The sequence below is a fragment of the Homo sapiens genome, chromosome 1, assembly GCF_000001405.40.
Source record: "Homo sapiens chromosome 1, GRCh38.p14 Primary Assembly".
NCBI classification, from domain to species: Eukaryota; Metazoa; Chordata; class Mammalia; order Primates; family Hominidae; genus Homo; species Homo sapiens.
The window spans coordinates 19,723,042-19,742,546 of record NC_000001.11 but is presented as its reverse complement, the minus strand read 5'-3'; the positions used below and the strand labels follow the sequence as shown (position 1 = coordinate 19,742,546).

The following is a 19,505-nucleotide window of genomic DNA, read 5'->3' as shown; positions in this document are numbered from 1 at the left end:
TTGTTGCAGAGCTGAGACAGGGTCCCCCCAGAGGGAGGGGGGCAGCTGTAGTATTGTCCTTGTGCGGACGTGGTACCCTGCAGGTAAGGATGAGCTTTGGAGCAGGCAGGTAGAGGCCTGAGGTTGATGCTCAGAACCTGCAGGCTGCCCCGGGAAGCTGTCTCCACCCCTCCATTCCCACATGGTGTTTAATGAGCACTTACTGTACATCACATCACCAGGCTTTGGGAATACAGTGCTTGGCAAAGCAGACTGTAGGAGAGGCACACGTCAAACAGGATGCATAAATAGCGAATAATTGCAGACTGTGATAAGAACTTATGGGGAAAAGTGGAGGGTGCATTTGTTTTGTCAGAGGAGCCGGGAAGGCTTCCCCGTGGAAGAGGCGATTGGACTGGAATCTCAAGGGCAAGTGGTAGTGATCTAGGGGAACTGATGTACGATCTGGGAGCTCATGAAGGGTTTTAGGCAGGAATGGGAGAAGATTTGTGTTTTGAAAAAGTCACTTTCGCCGGGCGCAGTGGTTCACGCCTATAATTCCAGCACTTGGGAGGCCGAGGCGGGTGGATCACTTGAGGTCAGGAGTTCGAGACCAGCCTGGCCAATATGATGAAACCCCGTCTCTACTGAAAATACACAAAAATTAGCCAGGTTTGGTGGTGGGTGCCTGTAATTCCAGCTACTCAGGAGGCTGAGGCAGGAGAATCACTTGAACCTGGGAGGCGGAGGTTGCAGTGAACCGAGATCGTGCCACTACACTCCAGCCTGGGAAACAAAGCAAAACTCTGTCTCAAAAAAAAAAAAGAAAGAAAGAAAGAAAAGAAAAGCCACTTGGGCCACAAGCAGAAATACGTGGGGGCCAGATTAGGTGCCCCTCTGTGCTCCTATACTGAAGGCAGCCAGGTGGGCAAGGAAGGAGGGGATGAGGGAGGCAGGTGTCATGGTTATACTTTCCGACTTGGCATCGGCCGCTACAGTGGTGCTGTCTCATCCTCCTTCCGTGGGTCATTTGATATATTTCCTCAGTGAGAAAATTGAGGCTCAGAAAAATTGAATGACCCCGCAAGATCATAACAGAGCCGGGCTCAAACATCTCTTCCCCAAATTTCTAGCTATCTCCCAGGCCATGTTTGTTAAATCAAGATGCAGCAGACTCACAGCGCTGTGCTGCTTGTCCCATTGTATGCTCTCGTTGTATGTCATTAGCAGCTTAATGCCAGAATTATTTCAGCATTAGAGAAAATAACCCTTTACATATATCATAGTTCAAACACATTTCATTCTTATACCTACCCTATGAAGGGAGATAAACCATCTCCCCACTTCACATAGAAGCAAAGTGAGGCACAAGGTGGGATAGTGATGTGCCCAGGGTCACCTGGCTTCTAGTGAATGCAGGAGCTGGGATTCCAGCCCAGCCTGCTGACTCACTGGGCTGCACAGAGCTCCGCTAGCTCTGCTGACAGCTGCCACTCATTGGCAGGGGGTGGGCCTCTTGTCTTCCACACAAGGGTGAGTGGTCCTGGTGCTCCTTGTCTGGGGTACTGGGGTGGGGCATCCTCTGCCATAGACAAGAGAGACTTCACCTACCTGTGATCTCCCCAGGCACCTTCAGTGCCCCGTGGGCTGCCCTGGCCCACAGCCGTGAGCAGTACTGCCTGGCCTGGGAAGCCAAGTACCTGATGGAGCTCGGCAATGCCCTGGAGACCATCCTCAGTGGTCTCGCCAACATGGTGGCCCAGGAGGCCCTAAAGTACACAGTGTTGTCTGGTAAGTGCCCCCACCTGCCCCCCAACAACAGCATGCCCACTGCCTTCATCCCAACACAGTGGTACCATAGTTTTGCATGCCCAAAGCCCCCAGGGCAGGCACCGTGCTGGACCCTAGGAACACAGAGAGGTTAAGGCCGCATTCCTGTCTGGGGGAAGTTTATGATCCCTATGGAGAGAAGACAGGTAAACAGCCAATCACATGATCAGTCCGTTAGCTATTGCTGTGGGACAAGCCACCCCAAAACTCCATGGGATGTTTACTGTAATAGCTCAGGAGGCTGGAGTTGGTGGATCTTAGCTAGGCCTGTGGGTCAGCCAACCATCCACCGATCAATGCTAGCCTTGTCTGGGGCAACTCAGCTCTGCTCCATTTGTCTCTCATCCTCCTGGGATGAGCAGGCAAGCCCATGTCAATGATAGAAGCGCAAGAGGCTAGCCCTGGTGCACAAATCCATTTCAAGCCTCACATCTATTAATGTCTTTGGCAAAAGCAAGTCACATGGCTGAGTCTAGAGGGGATGGGCAGGGCAGGGGTCCCCACTGCAGAGTTATGAAGCAAAGTGGGAGGGTACAGGGTGTGGAGACGAATTGGGGCCATCTCACACGTGACAAGGGCTTGAGCAGAAGGGATTGAGTCCATATATCAGAAATTCATGAGTTTCGGATTTCTTTGTTCTTTAGCAGTTTGATTGGCAAACTTGCAGGTCCAAGTTGGAGACTGCATGCATTTATTTGAGCATCTGTTAGCCAGTCACTTCCCTAGTAGGACCCTAGGACAGGGGCCATTCCCTTCATCACTATCTCACCTCCCCAGGCATTGTGGCTGCCCTGACCTGGCCAGCCTCACTCCTCAGTGTCGCCAATGTCATCGACAACCCCTGGGGGGTGTGTCTCCATCGATCAGCAGAGGTTGGCAAGCACCTGGCCCACATCCTGCTCTCCCGGCAGCAGGTACCTGGGAATGGCTGTGTGGGCGTGGCATTGAGCAAGAGGGGAAGTCAGGTGCTGACTTGTTCACAGATATCAGCCTTAGAGGCAAGGCTACTTGGAGATAACTCAATGGTTTTGGGGGTGTGGGCAGTCCTTGCTGCCTCTCCAGTTCAAGTAATGAATGTGTCCTAGGATGAACAGTAAAAATTATAGACTCTGCAGCTCTAGCAGGTATTTAGGTAAGGACTGAATAACAGGGCATCTGCAGGTAGGAACAAGTCTGGGGGACTCTGGCAGAAGCAAAAGTGGCTCCTATGTATCAGCTCTTCATTCAAGTGTTTAGGATAATCACTGGGCTCATTTGGGTGATATTTCAGTGGAAACCTCTGACGCAGTTTGCAGTGAAGCCAGTAAAGTGAATGAGACCAGGTGCTTCAGCTGGCCACCAATGGAATTCCCACATGCTGGTGGCCTGGTGTTCCTTCCCAGAAGTATAAAGCTACTTTGTGAGGTCATCTTTGGTGGTCTAAATACCATGTAAAATGGTTAGGAAGAGACATCATCATAATACTTTTAAAATTTGAATCTAGTAAAGATGTACTTACCAAGAGAATAAAACCATCCCCTTCAGAATAAAACTTGAGTGAATGGAGACAAAAGCTTGAGAAGCAGTACCAGAAATGACTGCATTGTCAGGATTTGTTTTGGCTGGAAGTGGGAGAAAACCCAAAATAACAGTGGCTTAAACAAGGTAGAAATTTATTTTCCTGGAGAAGCCTAGCAAGGTTGTCTAATAGCCTTCCATGGTGCAGAGGCCCAGGTTCCTGCTACCTTGTTGCTCTGGGGTCTTGACCTTGTATCAAAGATGGCATCATCCGAGCTCCAGGGAGCAGGAGAAAGGAAGAACTGAAGAAGAAACAGCAAAGCCTTACAACATTTCAGTTGGTGTCTCACTGGCCAGAGCCTAGTCACATGACCATTCCTAGCTGCCACAGAAGCTGGGAAATATAGTATTTATTCTGAGTGATGATGAACCCAGCTGAAATTCAATTACTATGGAAAAAAGGGAGGATGGATATTGAGGGATGACAACTAGCAGTTTCTGCCATGCAGCTAAACTGCTTGAGCAACTGGCCACCCCCTTCAATCCCTGCGTCTTTGTCAAAAGAAACAGAAAATCCTTCGGCAGGCTTGACTCTAAGGCAAAGGCCAAAGTGGCATTGGCTTAGACAAGATAGAATTTTGTTCTCTCCCAAGTAAGAGTCTGGGTGTCAATATCTGGAGCAAGATGATGTGTTAGTTTCCTGCTGCCACTGTTACAAATTACCACAAATTTACCAGCTGAAAACAAATGTACTATTTTACAGCTCTGGAGGTCAAAAGGCAAAAATGCATGCCTTAGGGAGGATCCCCTTTCCTTGCCCTGTGCTAAGTCTCAGCCCTGTGGCCACCTCAAGCTACGGAGGAGTCAGGGAAACTTCGTCTTTGGCTGGGTGGCCGTGTGCCCAGTCAAACTCAGGAGTAAAGGACAAAGGGGAGAATGATATTGGGCAGTGGCCAGCAGGGTTGGCACAAAGCTCCTGCAGGATTCGAATACTGTTTAACAGAGGATTTTCTACTGTGGTAAGTGGAGTGGTGTGGGGATGTGGAATACGTGTATTGGCACAAAACCAAGGAAAAGGAATAGACTGGTAAAACCAGGCTGGGCCTCCAGAGCTCATCCACTCCCCTCCTCTCCTTCCATGTAAGCTTGTACCCAAACACCCCCAGATAACTTTCATTTTCTTTAGAGTCTTGACATGATCAGTTACCTTTTCTTACAAGTCCTTGAGTCAGAAAATTCCTCTTTCCATCTGACTTACTACCTTATCTTATCACTTAGAGCCAATATTTTGTGCCCCACCTTCCTATCTAGAAACTGAACTGTTGTCCCTCCCTTGTCACTCTTGCCTTTTTACCCCTCACACCTGGGGGTGCCTTCTGTCTAATCTCCCCAGCTCCGGAAGGGGTCCCGCAGCACTGCAGCCATTTGCCGCAAGGCAGATCAGTGCAAGGGAAGTTGCTCTTGTAATTGACTAGCCCTGTCTCCTGGGGAAGATGAGACGGTGGCTGGATAATGATTTGAGATGAAAGGGAATTAACCCAGCCGGGGGCTGCCTGTTGGCCTTGGAGGAAGCCAATTCCAGCAGCAGGTGCACTCCTGCATAAATGAGGGTCCTGACTCTGCTGATTAAGACATCAGCGCTCAGGGACCGGAACAGCACATGCATGATTCATTAGATGAGAATCAGGTGGTAAGGAATGTGCAAAGGCTGCCCTCCTCAGGCCTGATGTTTTGCTAGAACTGGCAGTATTCCTTCCAGACACCTGTGTCCTTTTTCCCTTCAGGGGCGACGACCTGTCACCTTGATTGGCTTCAGCCTGGGAGCCAGAGTCATCTACTTCTGTCTGCAGGAGATGGCTCAAGAGAAAGGTGAGCATGGATTATTGTCACAGACGGAAACCCTTCACAAGCTTGTTCCCAGGGACAGATGTTCTGGGCCAGGGGCCATGAGCCTTGCAAAATGTGTTCCCAGTTCTTAGAAATAATAGTTAAAAGTTAAAAATAGTTTAAAAATCAAGAAAAATCGTCATCAACCTTGGGGAAATGATTTTATATACATACATTAGAGTAGATGCAAGATGGACCATCCTGTAATAATGACACTGGCTTTTGTGTTCTAATGCACTTTCCCAAGTGGGAATGAAGGGGACAAGAAATTCAAAATTAAGGTGTTGGCAGGTGCACTTTCCCTCTGAAGGCTCTAGTGGAGGATTTTTCCTGTCTCTTCCAACTTCTTGTGGCTGCCAGCAGTCCTTAGCATTCCTTGGCTTGTAGACATGTCATTCCAGTCTCTGCCTGTTGTCTTCTCTCATAAGGACAGACAGAGTCATTGGATTTAGGGCCCACTCTCATCCAGGGTGATCCCATGTCAAGATCATTTACTTAATTATATCTGCAACGACCCTTTTACCAGATGAGGTCGCATTCACAGGTTCTGGGTGGACATATCTTCTGGGGGTTCACCATTCAACCACACACAGACACCTTTGGGAGTGTGTCATGCCTCCAGTGTCATCCTTTCTGTGCAAGGCAGTGAAAAGCTTGAGGGCTGCTGCTCCTGGCCTTGGGTAGGTGAGGTCTCCAGGGCAGAATGCTGGTTTTGGACAGATCTGTCAGCAGGGGCTGCCTGTGGAGGGGCTGGTTGGGAGAGTGAGTTGCCGAGCCTGGGGCACTTGGAGTGGTTCACTGCTCCTGGAACATGGGCTCACCTCCTCTCAGTGGAAGGTAGCAGCGGCAGGACTCTGAAGGCAAGAGGAGGAACTCAGAGAGAAATTGTTGAACCTGGGAGTGGAGGGTGGATGGGAGAGAAGGATTGGAGCTTAATATGATTTGGTTGTGTCCTCACCCAAATCTCATCTTGAATTGTGGCTCCCACAATCCACATGGGTCATGGGAGGGACCCGGTGGGAGGTAATTGAATCAGGGGGGTGGGTTTTCCCCATGCTGTTTCCATGATAGTGAATAAGTCTCATGAGAGCTGATGGTTTTATAAAGGGCAGTTCCCCTGCACGCGTTCTCTTGCCTGCCACCATGTACGACGTGCCTTTACTTCTCCTTTGCCCTCCACCATGATTGTTATTTGTTGCTGCAAAACGGCCTCTCCAAACACGGTGGCCAAAAGCAGCAATAACTGATCATTTCTCACGATTCTATGAGTTGGCAAGACCATTTGCCTCTCCTGCCTGGGCTTAGTCATGCAGTTGTAGTCAGAGCTGGAACACCCAGGAGGTCCAAGTTGACCTCATTCGTGTATCTGGCCATCGGTGCTGGTTGTCGGCCAATGCAGACTCCTCCCTGCTCTCCAAATCTACTTTTCCCAGGGAAGCCTTTGAAAAGTTGCCATCCTCTCTGCTGTCATCATTTTGCTTCTTTCCTTGTCATCTTTCCCTCTCTGGCAGCAAACCGTCTATCTGCCAGGCTCGTTACCTAGAGAGATGTAGTCTTATTAATAGAACCAATTCTTCATTCAGAGGGCATGTCTCTGCCTCCAGTTAGCATAAATGCTATGTTAACTTAAGATCGTTAGTACAGGCAAGACTTTAATTCCCCTGCCAAACAAATTGAATTAATTACCATGAACCATTTGGCTGTGGTAACCGGAAGTGAGGTCGACTCTCAGCTGTCCCCAGAATGTGAGGCTGGAAACTGGAAAGAGGGAAGAGGGAGGCAGGTGGCTTCTTGGTGACAGGGCTGGTTTGTGTGACACTGGGAAGTTCCTGCACTACAGCCTTTTGGGGGATGGTTCCCAAAGCAGCTTCCTTCCAGCATCTTTCCTGCTCGCTGCTCCCACCCCTGGATCCTCATGGCCCATAGCTGAGATTTTGGGTTTTGATATTAGGCAGACCTGGATTTGGCTCCTAGCTTTGCCACTGACTGGCTGTCGGACCTTGGGCTAGTCACTTAACCTCTCTGGGCCTCAGCTTCCTCAAAGGATATGAGCTTTGTACACTTATCTCAAAGGATCATGGGGGGATGACATAACGAATGTGAGAATTCCTGGCCCCAGTTTGGGTACACTCAGTAAATGTCCTCTGAATTCCAACCTGAGGACCTACTGTGCACAGGGAACTGTGGTGAGTGTTGTGTAGATGTCAGAACTTGTCATTTTGTGTCCGCTCTCCAGCCTCACATTAGATGTGAAGTCCAGGTAGGCAGGGTCTGCCTTGAGCCCTGCCGCCCCCCTAGTGCCCAGCACAGTGCCCAGTGCACTGTGAGTGGTCAGGAAGATGAAGGAGCTGGACTTTGGGTGAGGGAATCAGGCACATGCTGCTGTGCCCACGAGCTAGTGCAGATCCACCGGGTGCCAGGCTGTGTTCCAAGCACTTGCAAGTGTGATCACATTCCTCCCTCACTGCAGCCACAGGAGGGAGGTTCCACCAGTCTCCCTGCTTCAGATGAGAAAACTGAGGCTGAGAGGTGAAGCCACAAGAATCCTAAGTGCCAGAGCCAGGATTCAGGCCCAGGGAGTCTGGCCCTGGAGCCCTCACTCCTAACCACTATGCTGTATTTGGCAGACGGCAGCTGGACTAGGGCAGGGCATTCCAGAGGGTCGGCCAGCATGGGCAAAGGCGGGGCTCTCAGGGGTGTCTAGAAACGGTGGCATCTGGTGTCTCTGCAGCCCACGTAAGAGGCCCCCCAGGTGGGTTGGTGGGAAATGCTAATAGGTCAGGGTGGGAGCCTGGCACTGTGCCAGGCTAAGGAGTTGGAAACAACTGGTTCAACGCTGGGGAAAGATTGAGGTCTTTAAACTGTGGAGTGAATGAGTAACTGAGTGGATCCTGCCAAGGAGGACCCGGGGGCACTGGTGCTGGGCACCCTACAGTTCACACACATGCGCACATATGCACACTCACACACACACCTGCACACATTCATACACGCATCTGCACACACTCACACGGCAGCAACTCGGCAGACCCCAAGGGCCTCTAATGCCCCTGCTGTTCTCTAGATCAGTGTGGATGTCCCAGCATGACTCACAGGGCCCCACTCATGATCTGCCTTCAGCACCTTCCCCCGCCTCTCTCCACCTCACATGCCGGGCTCCAGCAGACCAAGCTCTATTTCCATTGTTCCCTCTTGGTCCGTCCTCTCTGTCTCCTTTTCTAGATAATTCCTACTCATTTCTCAGGTCTCACTGTGTCTGGAAGCTTTCCCTCCAATAATAATGATGATAATAGTAGTAGTAGTAACCACACAGCACACACTTATGGAATACACTGCGTTTTCATGCACCAGACACAATTCTAAGCTCATCATATGTATTATTTCATGGAGTCCTTCCAACAGCTCTGTGAAGTAGGTACAATTATCACATCCATTTTACAGAGGAGGAAAGAGAAATGCAGAGTGTAGGGATTTGCCTGAATCACACGGCTAGGAGGTGGCAGAGCAGGCAGTCTGGCTGGAGATTGTGCGATCTTCACCCTACGCTAGACTGTCTCTCCAAGCCACACTCCATTCTTCCTTGAACATCTTTCCCAGCGCTGGCCTGTCTCCCTGTTATACCTCCCTGCTTGCTCATCTGTCTTTCCAGTCTACCAGTAATTGTCACCTGGAGGTACACATCAGCAGCACGTGGGCAATTGTTTTCCCAAAATATATATATGAGGCCCCTATATGGAAGGGATCAGGCACCCCTATTTTGGAAATAGCTCCCCTGGGCAATTCTGGTGTGCAGCCCAGCCCACGCACAGGGTGAAGGTGGGCAGGGGCCCTGTTTCTCCTTCTTGTCACTGTATCCCTAGCCTGTCACAGTGCCTGGCACATACTAGGTGCTTGATGGACACATGACCCATGAGCCAAGTAAAGGAATCGATTCTGTGTGTCAGGGGCAGTGCATGCCCTGCTCAGCCGTGTGTGTCCCCAGTGCTTGGCACAGATGTAGACAAACATTTGAGGGTAGAAGGGAGTCCTTTTAACATGGGCACCACAGGTCTTCAATATTTTATTAAGAAAAAAAATTTTTTTTTTTGAGACGGAGTTTCGCTCTGTCACCCAGACTGGAGTGCAGTGGTGCCATCTCAGCTCACTGCAACTTCTGCCTCCCAGGTTCAAGCAATTCTCCTGCCTCAGCCTCCCAAGTAGCTGGGATTACACGTGCCCGCAACATTGCCCAGCAAATTTTTTGTATTTTTAGTAGAGTCGGGGTTTCACCATGTTGGCCAGGCTGGTCCCAAACTCCCGACCTCAAGTGATCCACCCACCTCGGCCTCCCAAAGTGCTGGCATTACAGGCGTGAGCCACCGTGCCCGGCCTAGAAAACTTCTATATTGACAGATGAGTAGGTAGTCAGCAAAAAAGAAAAACGAGAAGAAAGAAAAAAAGAAAACCTCTACATTTTAAAAGAAGAAGAAACTAGGATCCGAAGCCTTCCAAATAACAAGAATCTGATAGGAATCTGACTCCAAGATGAACCCGGTGGACAAAAGTGCAGCTGGCATTTTCCCCCTGTAGTCACCTTCAGAAAAAAGAACTTGGGCCCAGAAAACTCTAAACACATTCTTCATTTTTTTAAAGACAGGGTCTCCCTGTGTTGCCGAGGCTGGTCTCGAACTCCTGGTCTCAAGCAATCCTCCTGCCTCAGCTTCCCACAGCACTGGGGTTACAGGCATGAGCCACCATGCCCAGCCCCCACTGTCTTTGTTATTAATCAGCCTGATAGTTTCCCTCCTTATTTCATAACATCCCATCCCTGCCTCATTGATCATCTAGAGAGGAGGTGAGAAAGGACGCTGGTCATCCTGTGCCTTGACTTTGGTCAAGAACACACTGAGGCCAGGTCCAGTGGCTCATGCCTGTAATCCCAACACTTTGGGAGGCTGAGGTGGGAGGATTGCTTGAGCCCAGGAGTTCAAGACCAGCCTGGGCAACATAATTTGCCTCTACAAAAAATTTTAAAATTAGCCAGGCATGGTGGCACGTGCATGTAGCCCCAGCTACTTGGGAGGCTGAGGCAGGAGGATCACTTGAGCCCAGGAGGTTGAAGATGCAGTGAGCCATGATCGTGCCACTGCACTCCAGCCTGGGTGACAGAGCAAAAGCCACACTGAGAGGGGTCTGTCCCTTAGTTAGCCATAGCTTATTCCAAATGTGAGCAGCAGGTGTGCGCACATTCACAGACATGTAGCCAGCTCTCTCTGTGGGACAGAAGGCAGCTCCTCCCATGCAGCTGGGTGCACAGGCCCCGCTCAGTTTAAAACCCCCGCTGTCCATGCCGGCCTTCACAGCAGCTCCAGCTGGACGGGAGATCTCTCTGATGCAAGATCTCAAAGCCATTTATATCCCCAGTTTTCCTTTTTCTTTCCAGAGTGTAAGGGAATTCCTGATGGTTCATAGAAATGGGGAGTTGGAAACAAAAGATCACCCACTGCAGAGGGGAACAGAAAGGTCCTGATCCCGAGAGCCAAGCACTCGAGTGTGACCTCCCTGCTTTGGGGACCTGAGGCCAAGGAAGCTGGTGGGGACCAGAGCAGAGCCCTTCTCGCCAGACTGCTTTAACTCACCCCAGAAAGCACAAAGCAGAACAAATCAAAACAGGGACATAGGGACATACTTGTGATCACAAAAATACACACACACTCAGGGCCTGGCCCAGCACCAGGCGCTTGCAGGACGCGGCAAGGTACAGGCCTCTGCCATCACAGATGATGGGCCACAGGGCTCTTCTCCGCTGAGAAGCTGCCAGCTTAGTTGCTACAAGTGTGTGAGCTCTGGAGTCAGGGCCTCTGGTTTGAATTCCAAACCCACCACGCACCCAGTCATGTAACCTCTCTGAACTCCACTTATGTGAGACATAGCCAATAATAGTATCTACAACAGGTTTTTAGGAGGATTACGTTATAGGCAATAATGCATATAAATGCTGGCCTGTAATAAGAACCCAGAAGTACTCGCTGAGCATTGATAATTTCCTAGAAACTGTTAATAAATGGGAGTAGGCATGTCATATTATAGCAATCCCTCCCTGATGGATGGCATGGACCCTGGACCTAGTTGAGGAATAATTGGCCTCCCACAGGGTCAGAACCTCCAGTTTCCACTCCTTCCCATGGCCACAGCGCCTCCTACCCTCTTCCTCAACCATTCCCCTCCCAAGTCCTTGCCCTTGTATTACCAATGGGGCATCTTCACACCTCCAGATGGTCGAGATCGTCAATGAATTCTTCACCCTTTGCCCAGGGCTGCTGTTTCACATCTCATTCCTCCCAGCTGCACTGCCTGCTTTCAGGCAGCCCTGCTGTTTAACACCCAATTAATCTGCACACTGAGAAGACCCTCTCCTAATTGCAGGATAGCTGTCATTATCTGAGTTAAGGGATGTAAAAGAGGAATTACCCTAATGCATTTGAATCCACTAATTGTTTTCTGGAGTCCCCTGAGAGCTAGTAACAAAATAGAGCAGTAAATCCTAGAGTCACCCAGAGCACATAATCCTTCCACCAGCCTCCCCTCTCCACTGCCCCTAACAAAACTTGTCATTCCTTCCCCTTCCCCAGGAAAAGCTGCCTGTAGAATTAACTGTCTTCACAGCTTCCACTCCCTTTTGGGGTGATTCTGCAAACACCAGGGGTGGCTCCTCTAGGGATCACCACCCTTCCCAAGGTGCCCCTTACAGCCCAGCCTGCCCTTCCCTCAAGCTCAGTGTGGTCAACTTCCTTTCAAATAAGTGTTGAGACTGCAAGCCCCTTGAGGGCAGGGATTGTGTGTGACTCACCTCTGTGCTTCCTGTACCTGGAATAATGCCAACAGAGAGTACATGCTCTAGAAGTAAATGGAACTTGAAGTTGAATGTTATCAGCATTCACAGTGTATCAGTCAGGACAGCCTAGGTTATGCCGCAGTGACAAACATCCCCAATATTGCAGAGGTGTGATACAACAAAGGTTCATTTCTCACTCATGCTGTCTGGGTACCCAGGGGAACTCTGGTTGTTGTAGATGCCCAGGTCGAGGGAGCTCCATATCAACGTATGTTTCCTCAGTAGGAGACAGAATGTGGTGACTTATGCACTGGCCCTTAAAGCACCTTCACCCATAAGTAACACATGTGACTTTTACAAACATTTCATTGGCCAAAGCAAGGCATGGAGACATTCCTCACATGAAGGAGGGGCCAGTAAATGCCTTCCTACCATGTGGTCAGAGACAGAGAGCTAGAACCATTTGGTAAACAGCTTATTACCTTTTTCTCTCCATGCTAAACATTTTTACTGGCATTATTTTGTTTAATTCTCACAAGAGCCCGTGAAGTAGGCACTATTTTTTGCTTGTGGTTTTTGTGTGTATGTGTATGGGTACATAGTAGGCAAATATATTTATGGGATATGTGGGATATTTTAATACAGGCATGCAATGCATAATAATCACATCACGGAAAATGGGGTATCTATCACCTCAAGCTTTTATCCTTTGTGTTATGAACAATAAAATCATACTCTTATTTTTTATTTATTTATTTGTTTATTTATTTATTTTTTGAGACAGTCTCACCCTGTCACCCTAGCTGGAGTGCAGTGGTGCAATCTCAGCTTACTGCAACCTCCACCTCCCGGTTCAAGCAATTCTCATACCTCAGCCTCCCAAATAGCTGGGATTACAGGTGCACACCACCACACCCAGCTAATTTTTGTATTTTTGGTAGAGACGGGGTTTCACCATGTTGGCCAGGCTGGTCTCAAACTCCTGACCTCAGGTGATCTGCCCACCTTAGCCTCCCAAAGTGCTGGGATTACAGGTGTGAGCCACTGCGCCAGGGCTTTTTTAGTTATTTCTAAATGTACAATTAAATTATTGGCTGGGCACTGTGGCTCACACCTATAATCCCAGCACTTTGGGAGGCCAAGGTGGGCAGATCACTTGAGGCCAGGAGTTTGAGACCAGCCTGGACAACATGGCAAAACCCCATCTCTACTAAAAATACAAAAATTAGCCAGGCGTGGTGGCACGCCTGTATTCCCCGCTACTTGGCAGGCGGAGGCATGAGAATCGCTTGAACCCAGGAGGCAGAGGTTGCAGTGAGCCGAGATTGGGCCACTGTACTCTAGCCTAGGCGACACAGCAAGATTCTGTCTCAAAAAAAAACAAAATTATTATTGACTGTAGTCACCCTGTTGTGCTATCAAATACTAGGTCTTATTCACTCTTTCTGACTACTTGTACCTAGTAACTATCCCCACAGCTTATTCTATATCCACTATGGGGCCTCATGGTTCCCTAAGGATACCACTAAATGGCAGCTTCTACTTCCTGAACACATATTAGAACTTCACGGTCAATTAGCAGCCAGAAGGCCATATTTGGATTCTGGCCTCTGTAATTAATCCTCAGCTAAGATCTCAGCCAAGGCACCATTCTCACTGACCCTGTCTCCTTATCTGCAAAACAGGGACATTCCTCTCTTCCCCTACTTTCCCTCACATTACTGCTTGGAGGCTGGAAGTACATCTTGATGGAAAGGCAGAGTGGGGCAGGCTCTGAGGGTGCTTGGGTGAGAACCCCAGTGTTGGATGGTGCCCGGGAACCCAGGAGCTTCGCCAAGGGGCCTTCATGCAGACGGAGGTAGGAATGGCACCCAGCACGTTTCCCAGCAAATCAACAGAGCCAAGGCCAGTACAGAGCCCTGGATCCAGCCAGGCAGGGAGCAGGGCCCAAGCAGATCTGGGCCAAAGCTCTGGGCTCCTTGACAGCAATTGGCCTCAGACCTTGCCCAGTGCCCAGAGAGTCAGAGGAGATGACCTGGTGAAAATGCCTTGAAAATCAGAGCTGCCTGTAAATGGGAATGACATAATAATCATTGTCACAGCAATAGCAGCATAGCAATAGCCACCATCTATGAAGGCCTAGCTCTCTGCCCAGTTTTTGCACAGTTTTATGTACATTCTCTTCCACCCTCACAACCACCCCATGGGGCCAGTAGTTCTGCCTCCAGTTTCAGATGAGAAGAGTGGATTTAGAGAAAGGTGGAGTAGCTCTCCCTAGAATGAGGATTTTGACATATCTTTTTCCAACTCCAGAGCTCCTACTTAAAACCTTTTATTTTAGGTTCTGGGGTACATGTGCAGGCTTGTTATGTAGGTAAACTCATGTTACTGGAGTTTGTTGTGCAGATTATTTTATCACCCAGCTACTAAGCCTAGTACAATAGTTACTGTTTCTGATCCTTTCCCTCCTCTCATCCTCCACCTTCGAGTAAGCACCAGTGTCTGTTGTTCCCCTCTTTGTGTTTATGCGTTCTCATCATTTAGCTCCCACTTATAAATGAGAACGTATGGTATTTGGTTTTCTGTACCTGCATTAGTTTGCTAAGGATAATGGCTTCCGGTTCCTTCCATGTTTCTGCAGAGGGCATGATCTCATTCATTTTTATGGCTGCATCATATTCCATGGTATATATGTACCACATTTTCTTTATCCAGTCTACCATTGATGGGCATTTAGGTTGACTCCATGTCTTTGCTATTGTGAATAGTGCTGCAGTGAACATACAGATGTATGTATCTTTAACACGATTTATCTTCCTTTGGGTATATACCCTTTAATGGGATTAATGGGTTGAATGGTAGTTCTATTTTTAGCAGAGCTCCTATTTTTATCTTACAATATTTCAGCCCCTCCTGGTTGGATGTTTTCAATCAAAGCAATATACCATATGAGACCTTCTAAAGAGAGAATTATTCAAAATCAAATTCACTCCACTAGCTCGTATTTGTTAAGCACTTACTGTGTGCTAAGCACTAGACTAGGCTTTAGGGAGTTGACAGCTAATAGATATAGCACCAACCTCACAGAGCTTATGTTGAAGAAACTACCCTTCCAAAGACATGAGTTGGGTTTTGCAGAGTGGTGTGGGGATCAGCAGTGGTGTACATCAGTCATCCCACGGAGCACCTGGCACATAGTAGGTGCTTGGTAAAGGAAGTTCTTACTGCTCTTTCATGCCAGGTTCAAGGGCAGCCCCCTGGGTGGCACTGACATCCCTTTGTCTGCACGTCCTGTCCTAACATGGAGACCATCTCTACCACTCCAAACCCGAGAGCACTTGGCTTAGGAAACAGAAGGAGTCGCAGAAGCTGACCCACCAGGACATAGAGGCAGATGCTCAGCAAGCCTCCCAGCCTCCTCTGCTCCTCCCACGCCTCCAGGCAGGCAGTTTGGGTTTGCAGAAACCCATCCGGGGCTGAACCCACCAGCTCTACCATGCGTCATCCTAGAGATCTGTAAGGCGTCTGAGGAGATTTTCCCAACTGTTATTGAGATTCTCAGAGCAGTCCCGCCACATGTTCAGATGCACCCCACAGGAGGGGGAAGGGCTGATCTCCCGTGGGAATCCCTGGCCTTCTGGATGAGTATTTTAAATCCATCATGTAGCCGAGGAATCTTCTCTTCAGACACAAACAGGCCCAAATTCAACTGGCATTTACTGAGATCCCTACTACCTGCTTGTAAGATCAACTGATTCCTTATCTTCATCCTCCTCCTCCTCTGGCCAGCTCACAATTATTGGTTTCTGCAAACCCAGACCACCTGCGTGGAGGTGTGGGAGGAGCAGAGGAGGCTGGGAGCCTTGCTGAGCACTTAGTGTGTGCCAGGCACAGTTAAACACTTCACATGCCTTATTTAATCCTTGCAATAATCCTCTGAGGTTTTAATTATCCCCATTTTACAGATGAGGAAACTAAGGCTTACAGAGGTGAAATAACTAGTGCATGGTTACAGGACTAGCATGATGAAGCTGGAATGTGGAGCTGCAATGGCTGACCCGTGTTTTTTTTTTTTTAAGACAGAGTCTCGCTCTGTCCCCTAAGCTGGAGTGCGGTGGCACGACCTCGGCTCACTGCAACCTCCACCTCCCAGGTTTAAGCTCAGAGAGCCGAAGGGATTTGCCCAGAGTCAGAGCTGGAAGGTGGCCGAGCCAGGCATCACACCCAGGGCCATCACCCACACCTGGGTCATGGCACTGTGTTCAGCTGCCTCCCTGCTCCCTCTCAGTGCTTTGCCCATCTTTGTTTCCAAGCTCACCACGTTGGGTTACAATGCATCTGCCCACAGGTCTCTCTCCCCTGCTAGAATGTGGCTGATGCTTAAAGGGAAAACACACACTCACGATCACCAGGCACTGTCTGTTTTGTCCCCTCTGTGTCACCAGCCCCTGGCTCAGGCCTTGGCATGTAGAGGTGCCCAGTACATGTTAGGAGCTGATTCACTCGTGAGGGACACAAAGGCAGCCATGAAGTTTGCTGTGAGGGCTTCTTGCAGGGGACCATGCTCGAGGCCTTTGGGTGCGGCAAGGCTCGAACTGCCTTGGCAAAGTGGACTCCTCAGCCCCCAAGGCCTGGGCCAGCTGGTTGATCTATTGCCCAGACTTCCCAGTGACCACGCTGTGCTCGGCCCGCTCCATTCCAGACTGTCCATCGGGCTTGATCGGCTGGCACACACACACAGCCTGGGTAACGACTCTGCCCACTCAAAACCAAGACAAAACATGCACCTGCCAAATGATTGTGCCTTTGGTCAGGAAACCAGCATAGTCAGAATTCCTAGCAATGAACAATCCCCCTCTAGCAACAGTCCAAGTCCCAGCATAGGGCATGAATTTGCTTTGGGAGTGACTGACCCTGTCCCCAAGGGTATTTCTGACCCCAGTGCGTGCCAAGGGCAGGGAGGTGGTGCCTGCTGCCAGGAACAGCCAGCATCTGAGCACTCACTATGGGACCCTGGGCCCTGATCACAAGGGGGCATTCATCTTTTCTATATTTTTGCTTTTAAAAGTCTTTGAAAAATTAAGTAGTTGGAAAGCAAACTCAATTCCAACTGACTTGTAGTAGCTGGCTGAGCTGAGAAATGGCCATAGGAAATCAATTGCTGCTTCAGGTTATTTATGCATTTATTCTCCTCTGCATCCAAAAGGCTTTGAAGGGAATTAATTCAACATATTGCATATTGCCTGTGACCTGTGGGCCTGTCCATGCAGTTGACAAGACACGCTGAGCTGAGCCAGCCTGCCTGCAGGTGTCTTCATTCAGCACCATAGAGGCTGCAGGACCTGCTTCACTCTGGGCCCTAGGGTCCATTAGTCAATCCTGGCTTCCCCATCTGTTTGCCATCTGTAAGCGGGCTCAATTTGATCACTTTTCCTAGTGTCTTCAAGATGCAAGGATCATTGCAACCAGCTGAGAATGACATGAAAGAAGGAGCACTCACACCTGTAATCCCAGCACTTTGGGAGGCCGAGGCGGGTGCATCACGAGGTCAGGAGATTGAGACCATCCTGGCCAACATGGTGAAACCCCGTCTCTACTTAAAATACAAAAATTAGCTGGGTATTGTGGTGTGCGCCTGTAGTCCCAGCTACTCAGGAGGCTGAGGCAGGAGAATTGCTTGAACCTGGGAGGCGGAGGTTGCAGTGAGCAGAGATTGTGCCACTGCACTCCAGCCTGGGTGACAGAGCAAGACTCCATCTCAAAAAAGAAAAAAGAAAAACAAAAGAAGGAGCACTGAACTTAGAGTCTAGAAACATCAGTTCAAACCCAGACTCCACTAGTTACTGTCTGGGTACCCTTGGGCAAGTCACTTCACCTGTCTGGGCTTCAGACTAATTAGTAAAATTGGGATATTGATCCCTCTGGGGGTTATTCTAGGATTTAATAACTACCATTTATTGAACACCTACTATATGCCAAGTGATATGCTAAGGGCTTTGCCTGTTTTCCCTCATCTAATATACAAACAACTCTAAGATATAGTTATTGATTTTCCCATTTTGCCTATAAGGAGATTGATGGCAGGGACTGTGTCCATTTCATTCTGCCCTCTGTCATCGGCACCTAGCATGGGACTTGGCACAGCAAAGAGCTGCAGCAATTTACAAATAGTGAACCTGGGTTCAACTCCAGCCTGTCCAACCACAAAGCTGGCCTTTTTATATGGTGGATGTAACAGCACAATGCTTGGCACATAGTAGACTCCCAACAAGTAAGTGTTCCTTTCTTATTCTCCATTAGTTTATCCAAATGGATTTTTCCAAGGCTATGGTACTCACTGTCTCTGAGCTCACTAATGTAGCAGTAATGTCTTTAGCCCAACTGGCAGCTCTCAGGGGAGTGAGTTACAGAAGTGGGATTCATTTAATCTGTGCTTTAATCTAAACTAAAGGCCGACCAGCCCCCAGGCTCTTTCCAAGACTCTTAGCCTGCCGACTGCCTTTCAAAGACATTTGCTTCCCTCTGGGAATGCAGGCACCCTTGACCTTAGCAGTTGCCACCGGCTAAAATGCATTTGATCTCACCTTGAATGTGGGTTGTCTCTGTTATTTAAAGAAGGCAGGAATTTGGGGGCTTGCTCCAGCCTCGCCTCTGGGGTCAGACCTCTCTGCTTCACTGTTAACCCACAGGGCATTGTCACCAGGTGACCCGCTTCACCCTCCTCTCACAGATTGGCCACCAGCCCCCATTGTCTACTAGATAAATCCACTTAGCTTCCAGGGCCCCAGCTCAGAGCTGGAAGAGCCTCCAGAAATCACATTGTCCAAACCTTCAATTTACAGGTGAGGAAAGGAGACCAAGAGGGTCTGCACCCTGAAACGCAGTGATGATTGGTGTTGGTGTTGGAAGTTGGTTGCTGTGACTGGAGGAATCCAGAAATGCCCAAATACTAGCCTTGGAAATTACTTCCTTCTTCCCACAGGGTCCCTGAGAGAGCTGAGCATGCAGACTTTAGCTACATGATGACTGGGGCACCCATCACTTCAACGCCACCTAAGCTAGGACCCAGTAACCCCCAGGGAAGAAGCTGTGCTGGTCACACAGCAGGCTCAGCCACCCAAAAGCTCCAGCCCTGGATCTGGGGGCCTATGGGGTCCTGGCCAGTGGCATCGAAGGAGAAAGGAGGCAGGAAGACAAAGAAGAGACTATCCCCCATATGAGATGAATACAAGTTGGGCATCCCAAATCCAAAAATTCAAAATCCAAAATGCTCCAGATTCCAAAACTTTTTGAGCAGCAACATGATACTCCGAGGAAATGCTCAATGCAGCATTTCAGATTTTCGGATTTGGGATGCTCAACCAATAAGAATAATGCAAATATTCCAAAATCTGAAATCCAAAATACTTCTGGTCCCACGCATTTCAGATAAGGGCCAGAGAGAGAGAAGGTGGCCCTAACCTCCTCCAGCGACTTGCCTTGCTCAGAGGAGGGAGGA

The 19,505-nt window shown here is 49.2% G+C and overlaps 1 protein-coding gene across 16 annotated transcripts in view, besides 2 other annotated features; it reads left to right on the top strand.

Moving 5' to 3' along the window:
- TMCO4 (transmembrane and coiled-coil domains 4) overlaps positions 1 to 19,505 on the top strand; it is a 117,677-nt gene that overhangs the window by 57,370 nt on the left and 40,802 nt on the right. For all 16 annotated transcript variants that reach the window (NM_001349112.3, XM_011541185.4, XM_047416926.1 and 13 more), the window contains 3 exons: positions 1,606 to 1,770; positions 2,587 to 2,723; positions 5,091 to 5,175. In NM_001349112.3, coding sequence (NP_001336041.1) covers positions 1,606 to 1,770; positions 2,587 to 2,723; positions 5,091 to 5,175 — 387 coding nt within the window. The remainder of the gene's footprint in view (positions 1 to 1,605; positions 1,771 to 2,586; positions 2,724 to 5,090; positions 5,176 to 19,505) is intronic.
- Positions 1,130 to 1,629: an enhancer, noted in NCBI's record as "H3K4me1 hESC enhancer chr1:20067411-20067910 (GRCh37/hg19 assembly coordinates)". NCBI's record gives its function as "activates a minimal SCP1, AML or CMV promoter by ChIP-STARR-seq in naive H9 embryonic stem cells {active_cell/tissue: H9 hESC(naive)}" and the evidence as "EXISTENCE:reporter gene assay evidence [ECO:0000049][PMID:30033119]".
- Positions 1,630 to 2,131: an enhancer, noted in NCBI's record as "H3K4me1 hESC enhancer chr1:20066909-20067410 (GRCh37/hg19 assembly coordinates)". NCBI's record gives its function as "activates a minimal SCP1, AML or CMV promoter by ChIP-STARR-seq in naive H9 embryonic stem cells {active_cell/tissue: H9 hESC(naive)}" and the evidence as "EXISTENCE:reporter gene assay evidence [ECO:0000049][PMID:30033119]".